Source organism: Homo sapiens, chromosome 10, assembly GCF_000001405.40.
Source record: "Homo sapiens chromosome 10, GRCh38.p14 Primary Assembly".
NCBI lineage: Eukaryota > Metazoa > Chordata > Mammalia > Primates > Hominidae > Homo > Homo sapiens.
This window is the reverse complement of record NC_000010.11, coordinates 13,989,907-14,010,763: the sequence shown is the minus strand read 5'-3', so window position 1 is coordinate 14,010,763 and position 20,857 is coordinate 13,989,907. Positions and strand designations below refer to the sequence as shown.

At 43.9% G+C, this 20,857-nt stretch overlaps 1 protein-coding gene and 1 long non-coding RNA gene across 4 annotated transcripts in view; one reads left to right on the top strand and one right to left on the bottom strand.

Annotated features, from left to right (window-relative positions):
* The window catches only part of FRMD4A (FERM domain containing 4A), a 687,219-nt gene that overhangs the window by 320,161 nt on the left and 346,201 nt on the right, over positions 1-20,857 (top strand). Inside the window, exon 1 of one of the 2 annotated variants that reach the window (NM_001318336.2) lies at positions 2,214-2,704. The exons of the other annotated variant lie outside the window; for it this stretch is intronic. Coding sequence (NP_001305265.1) covers positions 2,612-2,704 — 93 coding nt within the window. The 5' untranslated portion in view covers positions 2,214-2,611. Of the gene's footprint in view, positions 1-2,213; positions 2,705-20,857 lie in introns of those variants that run through there. 2 annotated transcript variants of the gene reach the window in all.
* FRMD4A-AS2 (FRMD4A antisense RNA 2) lies at positions 3,238-19,184 on the bottom strand. Of its 2 annotated transcripts, none has more exons than NR_199003.1 (3): positions 18,772-19,184; positions 7,187-7,238; positions 3,238-3,577 (listed from the first exon to the last, which is right to left on the bottom strand). It is a non-coding gene; the product is annotated as an FRMD4A antisense RNA 2 (long non-coding RNA). The 2 variants fall into 2 exon arrangements; NR_199002.1 differs by lacking the exon at positions 3,238-3,577 and adding an exon at positions 4,310-5,405.

Sequence of the window (20,857 nt, the reverse complement as noted above, 5' to 3'; positions counted from 1 at the left end):
CCGAAGCGAGGAGATTGCTTGAGCCCAGGAGTTCAAGACCACCCTGAGCAATATAGTGAGACCCTGTCTCTATTTAAAAAAAAAAAAAAAAAAAAAAAAGACCTAAACTCGACAATTAATTTTGAATATGTAAGTCTCCGACACCCATGGCAAGACAATCAGAAAGATATTTTTGGACCAGCAACCTTTGAGAGCCTTGAAATCACTCCAAGGAGGGGGTCACCTACTCCGCGGGGACTGGGGAGGGCTCCATTATCTGGGAGGAGGCTTTTGTGCTAATATGAAAAGTGATCCTTCTCCCCGCCTCCCAAGGGAAGGATGTGGAATGTGTGAGACTCAGATGTGTGGGAGTCTGGCCCAGGGTTATTTTTGTTACCATTAACATTCTCTTCTATATGTATTTTAACCTTAATCAAATGCATGTGTTTTTGTTTTATTTGCACTTAGTTCATCAAAATGTCCCTTATGATCTGAACTATGCCATAAGCCTAAGCTCCACAGTGAAACACTCATTAATACCCCTGGGAAACAGGAAGTTGCATTTAGTCAAATGTAAATAAATTCAGCTCCCCGGGGCTTTGCCCTGGCCTGGGTCAGAGAAGAGGACAGTGGCTTCTCAGTCCATCTCATCATTGTCCCCCCCACCGACCCCAAAACTGAGCTGGAAGAATGACATGCCGTGACTCTCAACAGATAAAGTGTTCTGAAAGTGTGCCTATCCTTTGTTCAAAACCGTTACAACGTCAAGTGCAGTTTTACAAAGAAATGAGTTTCTCTTGCTTTGGCTCAATCATCGGGTATCGTTCCAGATTTTTTCCCACCCCCCGCCAATGCTCTGAAACCAGGCAGTGCAGGCAAGAAGCAAGAAAGAGAGAAAAAAGAGATGTAAACCTAAACCACCTCACCAAAGACGCCGTGTGAGCCGTGGTTAAGAGGTTTCCGTCTCCCCGTCTCTCTCACCCTCTCACTGACTCTCCTACTGCACACATGGAACCAATTACGAACAAAGCCCAATTGTTGTATATTTGGAATTTCCCACATCAACCTGATGCTTTCTTTAACTGACTCGTGATGTGTGTCTGCGCTGGAGGGCTGAACCCAGGTTTCCAGCCCGTGCGCTGCTGCCGCCGCCGTGGCACCCTTCGCCTCTTTCTTCTGATTCATTTTCTCATAGTACAAAACTCTGCTTCTTTCCTTCGCACCCCACCCCCATTTCCTATTAGGTGTGTTTGAATAAACAGAACCTTCATTTCCGTCATTTTCAATGAAGTAAGCACACTGGTCTGCAGACAGTGTCTCAAAGCTGGTGCCCAGAGCGTATGAGTGGTATCAAGGCTAATACCAAAAACCACGGGATGATTACAAAGGAAATGGCCATCCCTTTCATAAAACTCAGAACAGACAGAAGCAGTGTATGTAGAAATGCTTTAAAAAGAAAAAGAAAAAAAAAACCCAAACATACCCCATATCCTGGAAGCACCTTACTTGATTTTCTTTGTAGTAATTTTTTCTGCTATGGAAATAAGCCGATTTCAGGAGGAGTAGAGATGGGGAAGGTAGGGGAAAATATTACAGAAAAGTTAACGTTTGAGACCATTTATGCCATCCATCAAAGAAGGCTGTGTGATCTGAAATTACACAATATGATCAGAAAATAATTGACAGACGTGATGGATGAATCTGCTTCGACACAGCCGTGTAAAACGAAACATAATTTCTTCTTGTTTACTGGCACACGTAAAAATAAATGTTCTATAACACAAACATTTAAATGAGAAGGTGCCAAACACAAGCCTGTTCGATTTGATTTGATTCATCTGAACCATGTGATTGCAACAGTTTCTTCTTCTTTCCCTCATACTTTCTCTCTGTGGACTGTATTCACATATACAGTGAGTAATACCCGTGCGTTTATTTTTATGCGTTAGAAAGCAGGAAGGGTAAACAGATACGCATGTCTGATGCTCAGTTTTATAGATAGAATTTATGATTTCAAAGAGGTCCCTGATGTGTTCTGTCTGTGGTCTTCAGATATTGTTCCTCCGTTCAGAAGGGAGTGAAATCAGAGTGTAGGATTCTGCATTAATCTCCACTCCAGATGGTGATATTCCAAATAGTCTTTTTAAGGTGAGCATGTGACCTACTGTACGGCCGAGGGGCTTGGGAGTCACGTGATGGAATGAATAATACGTCTGATAGAGCTTTGATTAGACAACTGACCTGATTACCATCTGCAGCCACGAGAAGCAAAGTTGACATTTCTGGATCACTCTCCCCAGACGCGTCACTTGCCCACAAGCGGGACACGGCAGTCTCGCTGAGCCAGCTGTGCAGAGGGACAGATGGAAGAAAGCTAGAGATGCTGCTTCGTGGGCGCTGAAGTTGCAGAACTTGGGCTGGTTTTCTTTCTTCCCATCCCCCCTCCTCCTGACAAACCACATCTTGACTCAGATGGTCGAAAGAAAAACTCTTTCAGTTATTTGATATTTGGGAACCCTCCAGGAGACCATAACTTATTTTTGAGGGAGGCTCCTTCTCTCCCTTTGCTGGGAACACACACACACACACACACACACACACACACACACACACACACACACAGCTGTACACCATGGTGGTTCAGGCTGCAGTGGCTCCGAATAGATCCCAAAGACTTTTACTGAAAATTCCTTATGGATCTCTGAGAAGGCGCAGCGTTGAAAGGGTAAGCTACGTGGCGGGTTGTTTGCTTCTCAGTTGCTCCAAAGACAGGAAGATGTTTGTTTTCATTGTATACCGCGTTACTTCTGTTACTCACGTTTCCTGAACAGTTGGAGTTCCTGGGACTGTAGAATACTATCTCATCTGTAATTTTAGTTTTTTAACAGATAATGATGAGAAACCTGAAACAGTAATTTTTGTAACTTGTGGATCTCAGATGGGGGAGGGGTGCTCTTAGAGATGAAATATGAGGGAAAAGATTGGGATGGAAACTTCCCCCTGGAATGGGTTTGAAAGATTTGAGTGCTTGCTGAGAAATGCATGGGGGCTGTGAAAATGATTTCTTCTGTGTTTACTGAAACATACTCATTAGAGCAGCAGGGCTGTGAATTTCTTCTACTGGGTGACAGTGTCTAAAAGGGAGGTGATGGTGATGTTAAGGAGCTTCAAAGCTTTGGTAGTTTAAATTATGCAGGCAGTTGATTACATGCTTTTTTCCCCCCAAATACATTGCTATCATTTGGGGTTTATTTGTTTTTAATGCTATGGATTTTGGCTTAAAATTACTCTGTTAATTTCCTGAAAGCATGTTTACTTTATGGAAGCCCCTAGTAGAGAAAATCCTATAAAGTAATAATAAGGATTTGTCCTTCTCTGGAGTAACAGATGCATTTTTGGGGCTGACTCTAGTTAATGCAAAGCTGGTTGTCATTAGGGTGACAGGCTCAACATGCAGGGAGAATCCCTACACCCACAAAGTATATGGTGGTTCTGTTGGTCTCAGAAACCCCAAAAGCCCATGTTTGAATTGTGGCAAGTCCTTCCATGAGTTTTCGTCACCTACATAGACGTCTTCAGTTAAGGTGTAGTCCAAGACCTAATAAAGCAAATAGCATCACATGAAGCTCTCTTGTTAGATCAGCTATCCGCAGCATCTTATAAAGAAGATCAGAACTGAATTCAAGTGACTTTTTCTGGTTGGTATAACTTACTACTCAGCGATGTTTTATTTAAAAAAAAAAACTAAAGGTTTAAAAATGTGAGGGGCTAACTAAATACTTAGGTCGGGTTGATTTCCTGAGTTTTGATGAGTTACATTTTTTCTGCCATTTGAATAATGAAAAAAACGTTGCTTTCTATTCTGGTTGTGTGTCGGTCTTTATTTTGAGACTTATTTCTTGTTCTGAATGTCAAGATCATCAACTAATATGTATTAAATGCTTACTGTGTATTTCATGTTATTCCAATAGCTTAGATCTTAGGCCATCAGTGACAGCAAAATTTACACATTGATCAGGCTGCTATTGAGTGTGATGTTAGGTGTTAGTGAAAACTCTTTGGTCTGTATGGTAACAAAATTTTTATCACGTGTTCTATTATTAAGATATTTATTCACAAATGCTAACATGGAAGTGTGAATTGTGTGCCTTAGGGCTGTGTGAATGGCCACATTGAGCACATAGTCTTCCTTTATAGACGCGCACACACACACACACAAATCCAGTCGCCTGGAAACCTCCATTTATACCATTATGTTCTCCAGATAAAGTGTTTAATAAATCATGTATGTTTGCATAAATTCAAATATAGGCAGTTACCACTTCTGTTAGTCATTGTTTACTAATTTAAGAAAAATTGACAATATGGGAATATAGTATCATACACAAAACATGTCTGTTATTGGGTATGTTTGCACACACTTGCCTTCAAAGCACACAGGGCTATTTTCTGCCCTTGAGCACACCCCACCGTTACATGGGCCTTAACATGAGTATGGTCTGAATGGTTTGGGGCCCTCCCGCGCTGCACATCCTTGGAACATTGGGTCTTCCCCGTGAAGGTGAGGTAGCACCTCACCCTCCAGAGCAATGGAGAGTGGAACTAATTGAAATGTATGATGTCCTGTCAATTCCACTGGACATCTAACACTGTGGGTCAGAGGAATTGACAATTCTGTGACAATTTTCAGAATGGAGTCCTGTGTTTATAGAAGAGGAGGAGAGGTAAGGGCAAACACTGAGAGCCAGCACCCTTCCATTGGGAGTGTAAAGCAATAGCAGTTTGTTCAGTTCCATCAGCGGCTCTAAGGGCGCCAGGCATTTGAGTTGGTTTCCATTGTCTCACAGCATCTAATGACGCGGAAGACCTTACATTTCTGTAAGGCTTTCAGTTCATTCCCCTGCTTTACCATTGCGAGTCACTAACAAGGCACAGAGCCCAGGGGTTACTACCCTTGTCCTGTATAAACAGGGAAACCAAGGCGTGGAGAGTTTTAATCTTCTTTATGGGAATATACAGTCAATGACAGAGCAGGACCTAAATCCAGGGACCTGGCATTGTATGTTCTTGCCATAGGATCATGTTTCGTGTTTGCTCTCTGGAGGAGCGATGGCATGGCAGCCTGGCCCTGAGAAAAGGGTTATAACCAACTCGTTACCTGTGTTCGCATTAAAGGAAATATAGAAGATATGCCATTAAGAGGTGGTGAAAACCAAAGAGAAGAACATGATTTCCAGGACACTGACAGTCCTGTCCCCTTAGGTGCCCAGGTTCGACAATTGCTTCTGTATCCAACTGCTAGAGGTTGAGTTGAAAGAAGGAACTGCAACTTCTTAACCCTGCAACTTAGACATCCACCAAATCCTGAGAGACCAGGCTTAGTTCTGGTTCATGCTTCTTCAGACTGCCAAGAGCCCGTCACTGTGCTAGGGAGGGTGGAAAACATAAAGGAAATATAAAATGGACTGGGTGTGATGGCTCACACCTGTAATCCCAGCACTTTGGGAGACCGAGCTGGTCGGATCACGAGGTCAGGAGATGGAGACCATCCTGGCCAACATGGTGAAACCCTGTCTGTACTAAAATACAAAAAAATTAGCCAGGCGTGGTGGTATGCGCTTATAATCCCAGCTACTCAGGAGGCTGTGGCAGGGGAATCGCTTGAACCTGGGAGGTGGAGGTTGCTGTGAGCCAAGATGGAGCCACTGCACTCGAGCCTGGTGACAGAGAAAGACTCAGGTCTCAAAAAAAAAAGAAAGAAAGAAAGAAAGAAAGAAATATAAAATGCCACGTTTGGTATGGGAGGAGAGATTAGGCCTGTAAAGTTTATATAAATAAAACAATTAGAAGTCAGTATAATACAGGCTAGAATTAAGCTACAAAATAAGTAACAAAGACAATTTAGGTGCTACAGAAAGCAGCAGGGTGGGGTGACAAGAGTGAGGCTTGTCTATTTGCTATTTACGAGTTTTACTATTTACTCTTTAACTATTGAATATTTACGAGTCATATGGCCTTGATAGAGTGACTCAAACTTTCTCAGCTTCGGTTTATTCATCCACACTGCCCACCCCTTTGCAGTGCTTGTAAAGGATCACCAAAAATGTATGCAAGGACGTAACACAATACCTGGCAATCATATAAAATGTAGTCCATAATGATAGGCATCATTTTTAAGATTGCCTGTCTTTGTGTATAAGAACATTTGGCTTGTATCTTTTTTTTTCTGTTTGTTTTTTTCTTGAGACAGAGTCTCGCTGTGTTGCCCGGGCTGGAGTTCAGTGGCACGATCTTGGCTCACTGCAACCTCCACCTCCTGGGTTCAAGTGATTCTCCTGCCTCAGCCTCCAGAGCAACTGGTATTACAGGCGTGCGCCACCACACTTGGATAATTTTATATTTTTAGTAGAGACGGGGTTTCACCATGTTGGCCAGGCTGGTCTCGAACTCCTGACCTCAGGTGATCCACCTGCCTTGGCCTCCCAAAGTGCTGAGATTATAGGCGTGAGCCACCGCACCCAGTCTTGTATTTTTAATAAACAGATGACAATTTTTTATATTTAGACACACCTCCCTGTCTCCTGGGGAGATCCTTTAGGGCTATTCGCTTGCTAAAGCCAAGACAAGCAGTATATTGTGTCGTGGTGATAACTTTTCTGGGACTCCCAATTTTATGTAAGACACGTGGAAAACAAAATTTTTCTAACTGACTACACGTGAATCCCAAGTAACTCAACTTACTCAAGCCCACATCCTTCTGTATGGTCTCTTCCTTCTAAAGCCAGATGGTTTTTATTCCAGAAGTAAAGTAAAAATGAACTTCATGGAAAATTCTAATAAATGTAAGAACAAAACATATAAATGAGTTAAGGAAAGAGAAAATGTGGAAATTTTTTCCTGGGCGTTTGCCTTGGGGCAGGGAGGAAGTTTTTATTAAACTGCTATAACTTTGCAATACGAGGAAATGGTTTTATGTTGGAGATTACCTTTATAGATGCAAAGCCTAAGAATGAGTGAGTGAACCTTTTATGTGGCCCACCCCATGTTGTCTTAGTTTGTGGTTTTAAGTGGAGGTGAAATCTGCTAGGCTTCTGTCTGTATTCTCTGCTGCTGTAGTTTGGGCTCCAGGAAGCTGAGAAATGTATATTTCTTCACACCCTGAGATGCCCGCCTATGAGGGCTCTGACCCAGTCGTGCAAATACTTACAGAGTTGCTGTATCTCCGTTTTCACCCACTGATTTTCCAGCTGTAAGATCACCTGTTGAAGTGGGAGCATAATTTCCTGCATTTACTGGATTGCTCGTCTGCCCCGTTGACTTATCATCTCTAATATCCACACCCACAGACCCCCAAGCTGGACTGGACATCACTGTTCTCTTGAACATCTCAACACCTCAAATCCAGCATGTCCACGATGAACTTCGTCATCTCTCCTAATAATCCTGCTTCTCCTCCAACACCCCCAGCTTCCTAAAACCCAAACTAGACCCTGGCGTCTTCCTGCCTCCTCTCTTTCCATCGTCTCCTTCTCACAGCCACAAGGCACTGTCCATTCCAGCTCTGAAACGTCTCTCCCCGTCCTGCTCCTCTATTCCGTGGTGCAGCCCGCCACCATCTCTTGCCTGCGTGTTGCCTTCTCGCCGTGGCCAGTCTTGCTCCCCTCAATTCACGCTCTGTGCTGCAGCCACTGTGCTCTTTCTAAAACCGAGGGGTGATTGTGTCACTCGTCTACTGAAACCCTTAAGTGGCTCCCTGCCTCAGGATAAGGACAAATCACAAGGCCTTTCCTAATCACAGCCCTCCAGCCTCACCTCTTCCCATGCTTTACCCTGGGAATGTTATATTCCAACCATGCGTGGACATGTTTGCTGTTCCTCCAAACTACGGAGCTTGCTCTTGCCCCAGGAACTTTGCGTGTGTTTTCATCTTCCTGGCAATTTCTGCCTCCTCCCTCCACCCCCTTTACTTCTTTCAGCCTAAAGCCAATTCCACAGGAAGCTCTTCCAGGCACCCCATCCCTTCCCCAAGTCTGAGTAAATGCTCTCCCTGCTGGCTCCCGTAGTACTCTAGGATCCCTTTACAATAGCACAAATCACACTGCATTGAAACCACTGGTTTGCTTCAGTCATAATCCTCCGTACGATGGCAGGCATCTTGAGGACAGGGAACACCCCTGGGTTCCTGGTTCATAACAGGAGTGCAATAAATATCCACTAGATGACAGAATGAATGAAATCTAAAAGTTCATATAAACTGTCAGTGAGCAAATTCGAGAAGAGGATCAGAATTAAGACCTACACTGGAACAGCCTCCATCCTCGTGCTAACCTACCACAAGTCCCATTATCTCTGGTGGAAAATGTGTTCACTCTTACGTGTCAGTACAAGCGGAGAAAGCGAAATGCTCTTTTCTTATTTATTCGGAACTCTAAGACCATGCTGTACATCTTTAAGTGGAACAAAGTTAATGCATGAACAGCCAATCAGACTCAAATCATAGATCTCTTCACAAAGTAGTACAAATCTGATGATTTTATTGGGGGAAAAATGAGACAAGAAAGCATTCTCTTTTATCACAATTATTCCAATACTTTAGGTGAAAGGGTTTTTGTGTGTCTGGGAAAGACTGAAATGGTGGGATATTTCTGGAGCGATATTTTTAACACAGCATAAATTAAACGTTTTTGTACCCACATCATTCATTATATGATGTGTTATTCCAGGTTGACGTCTTGCCAGTCTATTATTTTGCAAACCATTACATTATCACAGCTGCTAAGCTGCATAACTTAAGAATTCGGAATACAACAGAGTCTCTATCGTTGAGTGTGTGCTGCTTACATTCTGAATGTATTCATGCAGGGAAGTGTGAGACGTTACCAAAAACACATACAGCAGACGGCTTTCAGTGGATATTTATTACCATTGAGCGCAGGCAGCCAAGAACTGTTCAGACAGATCAGTGTATTCACACATATTATTAGCCAGCCCCCTCATCCTGCATGGGGTTTTGTTCCTTCTATAAATATACGCCTCTCTGGAGAAAAAGAACACAGACTACTGGGGACTCCAATTCTCTGGTTCATAGAATGCATTGAAGGCCATTTTCCCTGCATTGGTTAGGCCCGTGCAATTTTAAGTGACCCAAACTTGGTGAACCGATATTTATTTTGTTTTGTATAGCAGCTTATGTCATGTTAAGCCATTGACTTCTCATCTTGGGTAGAATGACATTGCTTATTGGCTCAGTGTGGGGAAGGAAAGGCTGTCTCTATGGGTACCACTCCAGAGTTTTCATTCCTCAAGCTGGTGTGGAAAGCAGGATTGCAAATATCTATGCAAATGGTCAGGACTCCCAGGCGTTTCAGCATCCTATGCAAAATGGCAGCTCTCAGGCTGGGCCTGAAACTGAGCTATGGTTCTCTTCTTTGAATAGCTTGTCCCCTCGTCATGCCTCACCATCATGCCATGGGTCATGTTAAAACAATGCTTTTCAACTTTGGTGTTGCATTGGAAACACTCAAGGAGCTTTTAAGAACCCATCTGTACCCCAGACTATGTACATCAGAATCTCTGGGGATAGGATCCAGGCATCAGTATTTAAATCCCCAGGTGATTCCAACCTGCAGCCAACACTGAGAACAGCTGCCCCAAGGAAATAATATTACCAAGATCGATGATTTGGGCAAGATGCTAGCATAAGGAAACCAGCTAGTTTTTGTGTTTTCTGGTGACTTTACATAAAAGAGAAATAAATGGGTTGGTTGGGTTGGGTTTTTGGGTCATGTCATTCTCAATAGGGGAAAAAAACTATTTAGGCTCCTTGAAAGTTGGGTCCATATTCCTGGCACATCCTATGCAGTGTCCAGCACATTGAGGAGAGTCTCTGGATAGTTACCTGAGGCCTTCCGAAGTCATAGAGTCTAGAATTGTGCATGACTTCCTTCCAGGCTATTTAAGATCAAAAACATCCAATCTAGCTTCTCCTGTATGCTTCTTTTCTTGACTGGTGCATGGACAAAGTCCCTTTTGTGTGTCTTTCAATCTGCCATATTGCAAATATGTACACAAAGTCAATCGTGTTCTCAAGGAGAAAGGGGACATAGCTTTCTTCTCTTTTTTTTTTTTTTTTTTTTTTGAGGTGGCGTCTTGCTCTGTCACCCAGGCTGGAGTGCAGTGGCATGATTTTAGCTTACTGCAACCTCCTCTTCCTGGGTTCAGGTGGTTCTCCTGCCTCAGCCTCCTGAGTGGCTGACAATAAAGGCATCCATCACCATGCCTGGCTAATTTTTGTATTTTTAGTAGAGACAGGGTTTCACCAGGTTGGCCAGGCTGGTCTTGAACTCCTGACCTCAAGTGATCCACCCGCTTTAGCCTCCCAAACTGCTGGAATTACAGGTGTGAGCCACCACACCTGCCCCGGGGGAAATGGCTTTCTTTAAATGCTTTGAAACAGATCTCTTAGAAACTGCTCTAACATAATGAATATTATCCACCTGTGTAATATAAGACTTTCTTTGAACACATAGTTGAAAACAATCCACTTTTATTTGTATTTACTCATCAATGAGCCTCAGAGGATAATATTATCTATCCTACATCCATAAAACTATATAGAAGAAACTGTGCAATGGATCTTTATTCTAATCTGGGAGTGGATGAACCACATCTACGGATTTTTAATTCTTTTTTGTCTTCTCTTATTGGCCACTCAATAACTAATACTTCAAAGGACTTGGTCAGTTTTTCTACTAGGTCTCAGAGCCTACAACAATACCTGGGATAAAGATAGGATAAACAAGTGTTTATTGAGTGAATGCTGACTACCTGAACAAAAAGAATACCTTTGTGGTTATAAACTCAAGCCTTTAATAAAACAGAATTGTCCTTCAAGGGCCAGGGTTGCAGTGTGCCTGTGCTTGTATGCAGACGAACATCCGTGTCATCACCAGTCCTAACAGTGACTTATTTTAAGATGCTAGCTCTTCTTGGTGGAGAACTTGATCATGAAAAACTTCCTAAAATCCTACTACACAATTAACACCTTTGGGTGCATGGGCAGTCCCTTTTCTTCCCAATCACAACCCTTGTGGGGATATTTTGAGATAGTACAGAAATATCCTTCTGATCATTTTCCTACATTACTTGCTAACTTTTCTCAAAAACGCTATAGGCTTCCAAGCCTGACTGGCTTTCCTCATTAACATTCCCATAGAGTGATTGGAGGGATTGGAGGGATCATTCAGACACAATTTCTCCAATCACTCTATTGGAACATTAATGAGGAAAACCAATAAGGGTTAGAAGTATATTGATCATTGCTAGAAAATGCGGTCCTAGTCCAACCACACAGAATCAGTCCCAGAATACAGATATCCCTGGGAATGGAATACCTAGGACCTAACATTTTATTTATTAATTTCACAGATATTTATTTAACATCGACTACATGCCAGACAGTGTTCTAGGCCCAAGAGACACAGCTAAGTCTGCGCTTTCGTGAATTGGTAGTACGTCAAGTGGTGATGAGTTCTCTAAAGAGAAATAAAGCAGAGTAAGGAGCAGGGGGAGACGGAGCGTGCAGCATGGTTATATAATGTGGCTCTCAAGGAAGGACAGGGAGGGAGATGGGAGCAAGCCACACAGCCATGTGGGGAAAGAACATCCCACACAGAGGGCACAGCAAGTACAACAGGCCAGAGGCAGGAGTGGGCTTGATGTACTTGAGGGATGGCAAGCAGGTAGCTGGAGCAGAGTGAAGGGGTGAGATGGGGGTGGTCAGAAGTGAGGTTAAAGAGTCAGAGAAGAGTTAGGAGCCCAGCTGGCACAGGCTGTGCAGGCCATGAGAAGGACCTTTGGGTTTTACTCTGGGTAAGACTGAAAAAGATCAGGGGATCAGGGGCTGAAAGATGACGTTAGCTACTAGGTTGATAGAGAAGAAGGCTGGAATCAGGGTGTTGCATGAGGTTACTAGTACAATCATCTTAGTGACAGATGATGATGATTTAGGCCAGCGGATACCCTGGAGGTGGTGAGAAGTGAATGGACTCTGAATTTATCTAGAAGGGAGAGCTGGCAGGATTTCCTGACAGATTGGGTGTGGAGGGAGAAAGGAAGACAGGAGTCAAGAACGGCCCCCTGAGCAGCTGTAGACTGCAGCTGACGCTTACCAAGATGGGAACCACTGCAGGAAGAGCTGGTCAGTGATGACAGCCTGGGCGGGAGAGACTGGGTTCTATTCGTGATGTGCTAAACTTGAGATAATGAGTAAAAATTCAAATGGAGATATACAGTAGGATGTTAAAAACATATGTTTTCTCTTTGGGTGAGAGGTCTGTATTGGAGATAAGATGTGGACATTATCAGGGGTTCACTGGAGCTGGCTTGAGAGGCTCTCCAGAGCCAATTATGTGATTTCTTCTCAACTCTACATTCAGTGATGACAGATGAGCAGTTTGAAATGGGCCATGGCAGGGAATTTACACCATGGAAATTGGCAAACATTACAAAGCAGGGCTTTTATTCCCCTAGAGAGTTGATAAGAGTTACACATTCTCCAGTATACCACTGGAGATTGGCATTTAAAGCTAGAGGACTATATGATAACATCTGGGGAATGTGTGTGGATGGAAAGAAAATTGTCAGCACACTGGACCTGAAGCCACTCCAAAGCTTAGAGATGGGCTCCATGTGGTGGAACCAGCACTGGAGATGAGCAGAGAGCAGCCAGTGAGGTAGAAAGAGGATCCCAGAAGGGCATGATGGATTTTCAAATGCTGCTGATAGTCAAGTGAGATAAGGACTAAGAAATCACCTTATTGCAGCATTGTCATAAAAGATTGCACAAATTGCATGCATCAAAATTGCTTTGTGTTGGCCGGGCTTAGTGGCTGTAATCCCAGCACTTTGGGAGGTAGAGGTGAGCAGATCACTTGAGGTCAGGAGTTTTGAGAACAAACTGGGCAACATGGCAAAACCCCATCTCTACAAACAAATTAGCTGGGTGTGGTGGCACTCACATGTAGTCCCAGCTACTCTGGGGGCTGAGATGGAAGGCTTGTTTGAACCCAAGAGGTCGAGGCTGCAGTGAGCCAAGATTACATCACTGCAATCCAGCCTGGGTGACAGAATAAGATATTATCTCAAAAAAAAAAAAAAAAGAAAAGAAAAGAAAAGAATTGCCATGTGTTTCTAAGTACAGTACATGGATCAGATGCCTGGTCTCCACCTCAGACATCCTGAACCTAATGCTCATGGGCATATAACAGAGAAGACAGTTTGAGAAGCAGTGCCTTAATATATAGTGTTCCAGAAAAACAGGCACAGTGGGGTAGAGAAAAGAACACAGCAGAGGAAGTGATGAATAATGCAGATGGGAAAAGAGAGAAACTCTTAGAACAATTTTTACTCACCCTAAGGTCAGTCCTGGACACAGAGAGCAATTAGAGACCATGGTAGAGACTCTTGGGGTGAAGATTATTACAACTAAGGCCAAGAGTGAGTTTTCTCCCTATAGCACCAAAGAAACAGCATGTTCCTCTTTTAAATATCCCTCCCTTCAGCCACTATGTCAGAAAAATGGAGCTGCAATTGTCCCTTAGGTCTTTTCCAGCTTCCACAACCCATGCAAAAAAAAAGGCAAGAGAGAAGATGAAAGACCAATTTCAGTATCATCTATTGGTCACCTATGTCAAAAGCCAGCACTCTACCCCTAAGTCTTAGGTGTCCTAAGATCTAGCAGAGGGAAAACCTGTTTTGTTTTGTTTTGTTTTGTTTTGTTTTGTTTTGTTTTGTTTTGCCTCAATTTTTTTCAATGGCTTGATGTAATCATGGGTCAGGGCTTCATAACCCAGCTGAGTCCCAGAATAGATTTAGAAAGTATAATTTAGGCTGGAGCCAGCCATCAACTGCCCGAAATGAGCAAGTCCTAATTTGAACTCCGAATTTGGGGATCGACATCTATTCTGTAAAAGCAAATGGATTTGGATCAAATTGGAAGAAATCATTTCTAAGATCTCGTGGAGTTCTTGTAGAAGAAAATCCTGCTATTATCTGCCAATTAGGGTGAAGGAAAGTAAGTAACAGGTGCCAACACTAGGAAGGAAGTCTTCCGTGTAGATCCTATCCAGAGAAGGCTTTCTATGTGGGATTCACCCAGTTACATTATGCCTAGTTCCCCTTCACCAGCCCCTTTAATTTTCCTTTAAGTAAGATGGTACCCCTGACACATGAAATTCATACCACTGAAAGAGAAGTTTAAGAAGCAGACAAGTGGTACAGGAGCCCTCCCACGAGTCTGTGCCGATTCTTGTGAATTTGCCTATTTTGTTACCAAAGTGAAATTTATGTGCCTGGGTGTAGATGAGCAGAGTCATCAGGGCTCTGCAAAAGCTGTTCCTGTGCAGGGGCAGTGACAGCCTTGCTTTGTCACTGGCCTGGTGCATAGGTGCCGGGTCCACCCATGTAGGCAGCAGTGCAGGTGTCAGGTTCTGGAATCACTGTCATTAAGATGTGAATCCCATATGCTATGGTCTGAATGTTTTTGTTCCTCTGCAATTAATATATTGAAATCCTATCCCCTAAAGTAATGGCATTAAGAGATGGGGCCTTTGGGAGACAGTTAGTGCCCTTATAAAAGAGGCCCTCAAAAGCTCAGTAGTCCCTTCCACCATGTGAGGACACAGGAAGAAAGTTTTGCTTGTAAGCCAGAAAGTGAGTGCTCCCCAGGCACCGAATCTGCCTTAATATTAGACTTTCCAGCTTCCAGAACTATGAGCAATAAACTTCTGTTGTTTGTAAGCTCCCCAGTTTATGGGATTTGTTATAGCAGCATGGAGAGGCTAAGATGCCATCCTTAAAGGGAGGACGAGGAGAGGGCGCTTCCTCCCCTGCTGAGCCCCAGCTCTGGGTTGTCAGGTAGCAGAGCATTTAGGGAGAGGAGCTCATTAAGAAAAAAAAAAAAAAAGCAGTCTGGAAATGCATACGGGCACTTGTCGATTTGAAATCAACAACGTAGAATGGTGTGCTTATGTCAGCCTACTGGTCAACTTGGCTTCCTGAAGACCAATTGTCAACGAGCAGAACCTCAGCTCCCAAGGCCACATGCCGTGCCATTTGACATTACTCTCGGGGCAATACCTAGATCCTATGGCTTTTGGTTCAGCCATAGCGTCCATCTGCAGATCATCTTGTGTTTGTCTGAGACAGAGTCTTGCTCTGTTGCCCAGGCTGGAGTGCAGTGGCACAATCTCAGCTCACTGCAACCCCCACCTCCCACGTTCTAGTGATTCTTGTGCCTCAGCCTCCCAAGCAGCTGGGATTACAGGCATGCACCACCACACCTAGTTAATTTTTGTATTTTTAGTAGAGACAGGGTTTCATTATGTTGGCCAGGCTGGTCTCAAAACTCTTGGCCTCAAGCAATCCACCTGCCTAGGCCTCCCAAAGTGCTGGGATTACAGGTGTGATCCACCACGCCCAGCCCAGATCATCTTACTCGCCCTTTATTTCTAGTAGAATCTCTGGTTGGGTGTTCTGTGTTCTCCTTGATGGTATTAAACCAACATACCTAAGAGCAAACAAAAATATCTTCGGGACTCTGTGACTTCCTTTTTTCTTCTGTCAATGGCCTTAAGGTGGCATAAGAGAAACATGTCTCATGTATCTTAGAGTGGGGCCCATGCAGTACAAGAAAACTTCTGTCCTTAAGAGATCCAGTGGTCAGAAACTGGCTAGGTTTGAGAGTTGGTTTCTATCTCAGATGGTACACATAAGACCTAATCCTTTATCTTAACTCCTGTGGCTGCGCTCCTGTTCACTCTAGTCACCTGAGAAAATACAACCTCGTAGAGGCATTATAAACTCAAATATGTGTCAAAGCCAGGCAGGGAAGAAATGTAGCAGGAAAATACAGAAAGAGGCACATTGCAACCTGGAAAACTCCTGCCCCAGCAGGTGAGGCCAGCTACTACTCAGCTGTGCCACGGGAAAACCAGGGCCGGTGTTCCTGGATCTTCTAACTTTACAAAAGAAAATGTATGTATGCGTTGTTCTTATATTTAAGGAAAAAATACATATGTCTGTATGTGTGTATGTGAGAGAGGAACAGAGTGAGAGATATGAAATATCTCTATTTTTATAATCCAACTTTAAAGAATAACATTGCCTAAGATGCCAGTTTTCAATTTCTACAAGTAAAAGAGCACTGTCCTGAGGCAGGCAGATGATCTGAAGTCAGGAGTTTGAGACCAGCCTGACCAACATGGTGAAACCGTGTCTCTACGAAAGTACAAAACTTAGCTGGGCATTAGCCAGGCATGGTGGCTTACACCTGTAATCCCAGTACTTTGGGAGGCCGAGGCAGGCAGATCATGAGGTCGGGAGATCGAGACCATCCTGGCCAACATGGTGAAACCCCATCTCTACTAAAATACAAAAATTAGCTGAGTGTGGTGGGGCACGCCTGTAGTCCCAGCTACTCGGGAGGCTGAGGCAGGGGAATTGCTTGAACCCGGGAGGAAGAGATTGCAGTGAGCCAATATCACACCACTGCACTCCAGCCTGGTGACAGAATGAGACTGTCTCAAAAAAAAAAAAAAAAAAAAAAAAATTAGCTGGGCGTGGTGGCACACTCCTGTCATCCCAGCTACTCGGGAGGCTGAGACAGCAGAATCGCTGAACCCGGGAGGTGAAGGTTGCAGTGAGCCAAGATCGCATCACTGCACTCCAGCCTGGGCAACGAAGCAAGGCTCCATCTCAAAAAAAAAAAAAAGGACTGTCCCACCCTAAATATCTACATATTCTCCCCTGCCCCAGGCTTGATTTTCATAAAAAGGAAACATCTTGCTACAAAAAAAACTAATCTTAAAATAGATCCTCAGGCCCTCCAGCTGCAGCATAATCCTAGTGCTAAATCAGAATATATATTTTTTTAAAAAAAAAAAACCTATTCTGACAGGTCAAATGCAAATTTTAAAATATATTTGAATACATTGAATACACGTCCTCCAGCTAGAGGAAACAGGAAGATGACATCCTCTTTGCTGAGAACATGGTTTTATTACCTAGCAATAGGACAACAACTTCAGAAGCAACTGAACCTCTGGTCTAATTATTGCCTGATAGAACAACTTATTAATATCATCAGCAACATTTTTTTGTTTTGGGAAGATATTCTCCATTGATGGTGTTAAAACAGAACAAATCAAGCAATTTCAGCCAATAGAACAATCACCCTACCACCTAGAGGTATATTTTGCTAACTCAAATTTGCAGACCAGCAGTGTGTGGTCCTACTTAAAACTAGAGATTGCACAAGAGCCAAACAGAGGTTCTTTTATGATCAAGGTGGCTGACTGGTAACAGCTGGACTAAAACCTTTCAGTTCTAAATCATCTCTTTCATGCTAGATGGAGTGGAATTCTGGGGTCCCAGCCAAGTCCTTGAGCAAGAACTTGAATGGATTCACAGCTCCTTTTCTGATGGAAACGTTGGCTAAACCCTGAGGAACTCTGGATCTCACCACGATGTCAAATAGAATGATGTCCCTGCTGGGGGAGGAGGCAAGTCAGGCTTCTCCATTGTCCCTTCTAAACAGCAGCTCACACTTGTCACATCCACAGCAGAGATGCAACTCTTCAGTTTTAAACTCAGGATGTCCTCACTGTCTCTTGCCGGATAAGGCAACTTTGAATTCACTACCTTCTAGCACTTAGCCCAAAGTTTTGTAGGGACATAGGACACGCAAGAGAAGCAGATCAATGGATATGTTGGCTAGTCATTACTTTAATCTCTTTACACTAAATCCTTTTTTTTTTTTTTTTTTTTTTTTTTGAGACAGAGTCTCACTCTATTGCCCAGGCTGGAGTGCAATGGCACAATCTTGGCACACTGCAACCTCTGCCACCGGGGGTCAAGCGATCCTCCTGCCTCAGCCTCCCAAGTAGCTGGGATTACAGGCATGCGCCACCATGCCTGGCTAATTTTTGTATTTTTAGTAGAGACAGGGTTTCACCATTTGGTCAAGCTGGTCTTGAACTCCTGACCTCAGGTGATCCGCGTGTCTTGGCCTCCCAAAGTGCTGGGATTACAGGTGCGAGCCACCATGCCTGGCCTACACTAGATCTTTATTAAATTAAATAATCAAATATCAACATAGTTATGCTGTATTTTCTCAACTCCCTGCTGAAATTATTTTACAAAGTTAAGATTTAATTCCTCTCTATTGAGGGCTGATGTTTAGTGTCATTTTGTTTTGAATGAGCAGCAACCTATTCTTGGCCTGGACTGGGGCTGGCCATGTGACCCGAGACTTAGGCAGGACATGGAGGTGGGTGGGCAGGACCCAAGGCCAGGCATGGGAGTTTGCTGGGGTCAGTGAGCCTGCAAGCCAACCCACAGACAGGCTAAAGACTCATGAATCCGGTTAGATGTGTCAAATATAGCTGGAGAATCAAGAAACAGGTGGAGACCAGAGAAATCAGAGGAGAAGAAACCAATTTAAAGCAAAGGTAGAAGCAAGTGTTTGTAGAAACCCCTTGAACCACTGGCATAGCTCCAGGCATGTCTAGGCATAGCCTGGGCTATAGGCAGAGATGAGGTGGTTAGGATGGTATCTTAGTATCATCTTGCTGAGAAAGCCAGCAGAAGAAACATCTATAAGCACGCTTCTGAGGCTTTTTCAAAATGACCATTGAAGATCTTGTTCCTTATGTTATTCAGTGCTTTTTATATATTCCACTCCGTTAATTCCTTTTAGAAGATAATAAGAAGTATGTGATTCAATGTACTTACCTTTTTACCTTTGCTGCCAGGAAACTCAAGCTAAAGTTGAGGCACAACCTCAGTAACTTGCTCATTCTGGATGTCTTTTCATACTTTTAACTTATTGTTTTCTTCTTTTTTTCTATTTTAGATTACCCTTAATTTTCTAGTTTACCCTCATATTCCATGTAAATATGTGCACATATTTTGTGCCTTTGCCAAGCAGCATGGAATCCTATAACCTTCTCTTCTGTGTGTGTTACTTTCTGTAAGGGAAACCAACACAATGGAAACGTAGCCCATTGAGAGTAAAAAATAGAACAAAGTATGCTACTTCCCTTCTCTTGGCAGAACGCATTGTCCCAACAGGTGTATCAAAAATGCTTCAAGGTAAGCCAAGACATGGGAACATTGTGCTCTGAGCAAGGTGGTTCTTTTTTCCCAGAAGGGAATGAATTCATTTGGAATGTTAGGCCCTGACAGAACAGAGCCACTCCATTCCACTCCATTGTGTCCTGGGAGTACACAGGGACTTGGTGCAGCCCCTAGAGGCAGTGGCAGTTTACAGGCATTCCTGGGAAGAACAGAGGGGGTCCCGTTGGAGGAAAGCAGGTGCACACTGTCCTGAATCTCCGCGCCTGATGCCCACCTTCATACAAGCTGCAGCTATGCCTGGGGGATGACAGTTCTGCAGAGTCCAAACTCACAAGGATAAGGGCTGGAAAAGAGGCTTTGCTGGTTTTCTGTTCCCACCAGGATGTTGGAAGCCTCCTTTTTGTCCTTTTCACTCTACGCTTCTTTTTTCTTTTCCTTTCTAAATGTTGCTGTCAGTGTACTCAGCTGAATGCTATCAGATACACAAATAACAATAGCTTCCTGGGAACGATTTGCTGCTGTGGGTCATGGGCCAGTGCCAAGAAGCCCAGGCACGCCAAGCACAGTGTTTTAGGAAAACCGCGGCTTTCAGAGAGCAGCTTCAGGATAATTGTTCAATTCCATTAGGGATTCTGGCTCCGAATGCACCTCGGAACCTGGCCCCAGTGTCTCCTCCAGGGGAACTTAGAGGTCCCCCACTCCATACCTTGGCTGGCTTTCTTTTTGATTTGTTTAATTTTCAAGAACCATCATTACTGGAATCTCGTATCTGATTGCGGTGTTCATGGAAAGAAAAATGGGAACAAGGGCTGAGAGACAGTGAGGCTTCCAGGGTGATCAGGTTGACTCGCAGAGGGAGAAATAACAGATTCCCAAATGCGGATTCTGGCACTTACACGTTTCTGAGTTTCCGATCTGGAGATCGGAGAGGTCACCGTCCTAGGGCTTGTCAGCCTCGCCAGCCTGCTGGGGCTCCCATTGTTCTGCTCAGAGTCCGGGAAGCAGATCCTGCTCCCTGATGACAGCTTCAGGCCGAGATGTTCCTGCAATGGAAGGTTTCCCGGGCAGGCTTTGCTTCCATCCTGGAGAGAGTTAACCAGGTCAGCCAGGGTCAAGGAGCAGATATCAAGTTACATATTTTCCTCCCTCATTTCCTAGCACACTCCCAGACATGCTCCACAAGGAAGGCCAGGAAGGAAGCATACCCGCCCAACAGACAAGACAGGCCAGGACCCTGGAAAGAAGAGGAAGGCACGTCTCTGGGCCTTCTCAGTCCTTACTTCCTCCTCCCTCCTTGTCCCACATTCCCCTCTGGATGGGTCTCACTCTCCAAGAAAATGGCCAGGAGCAAATCCAGGCAGAGAGGGAAGTTACTGAGACCCAGAAGCACAGCCAAGAATAGAAAGTACCTTTAATGAGCTCTTTCTATGTGCTTAATCTATGCAGCTGTTTTCTCCTCTGATCCTCAGAGCAGCCCTTTGAGGTTGGCTCTTATTCCTAACCCCACTTTCTAGAATAGGAAAACAGAGAATAGAGAGAGATTAAGTCATTTGTCCAGGGTTACGCAGCCAGCAGTGGCAGATCCAGGGTTTGAACCCAGGTAGTCTGACTTCAGAAAACTCTCCAGAGCGAATCTAAATGGGGGTCTAACCTAGAGTGAGACCCTTGGAATCCAAGCTGCTGAGAAAAGTGTCCCTTTAGAAAGGAACTCTAGGTCTGGTTGCCAGATTCAGCAAATGAA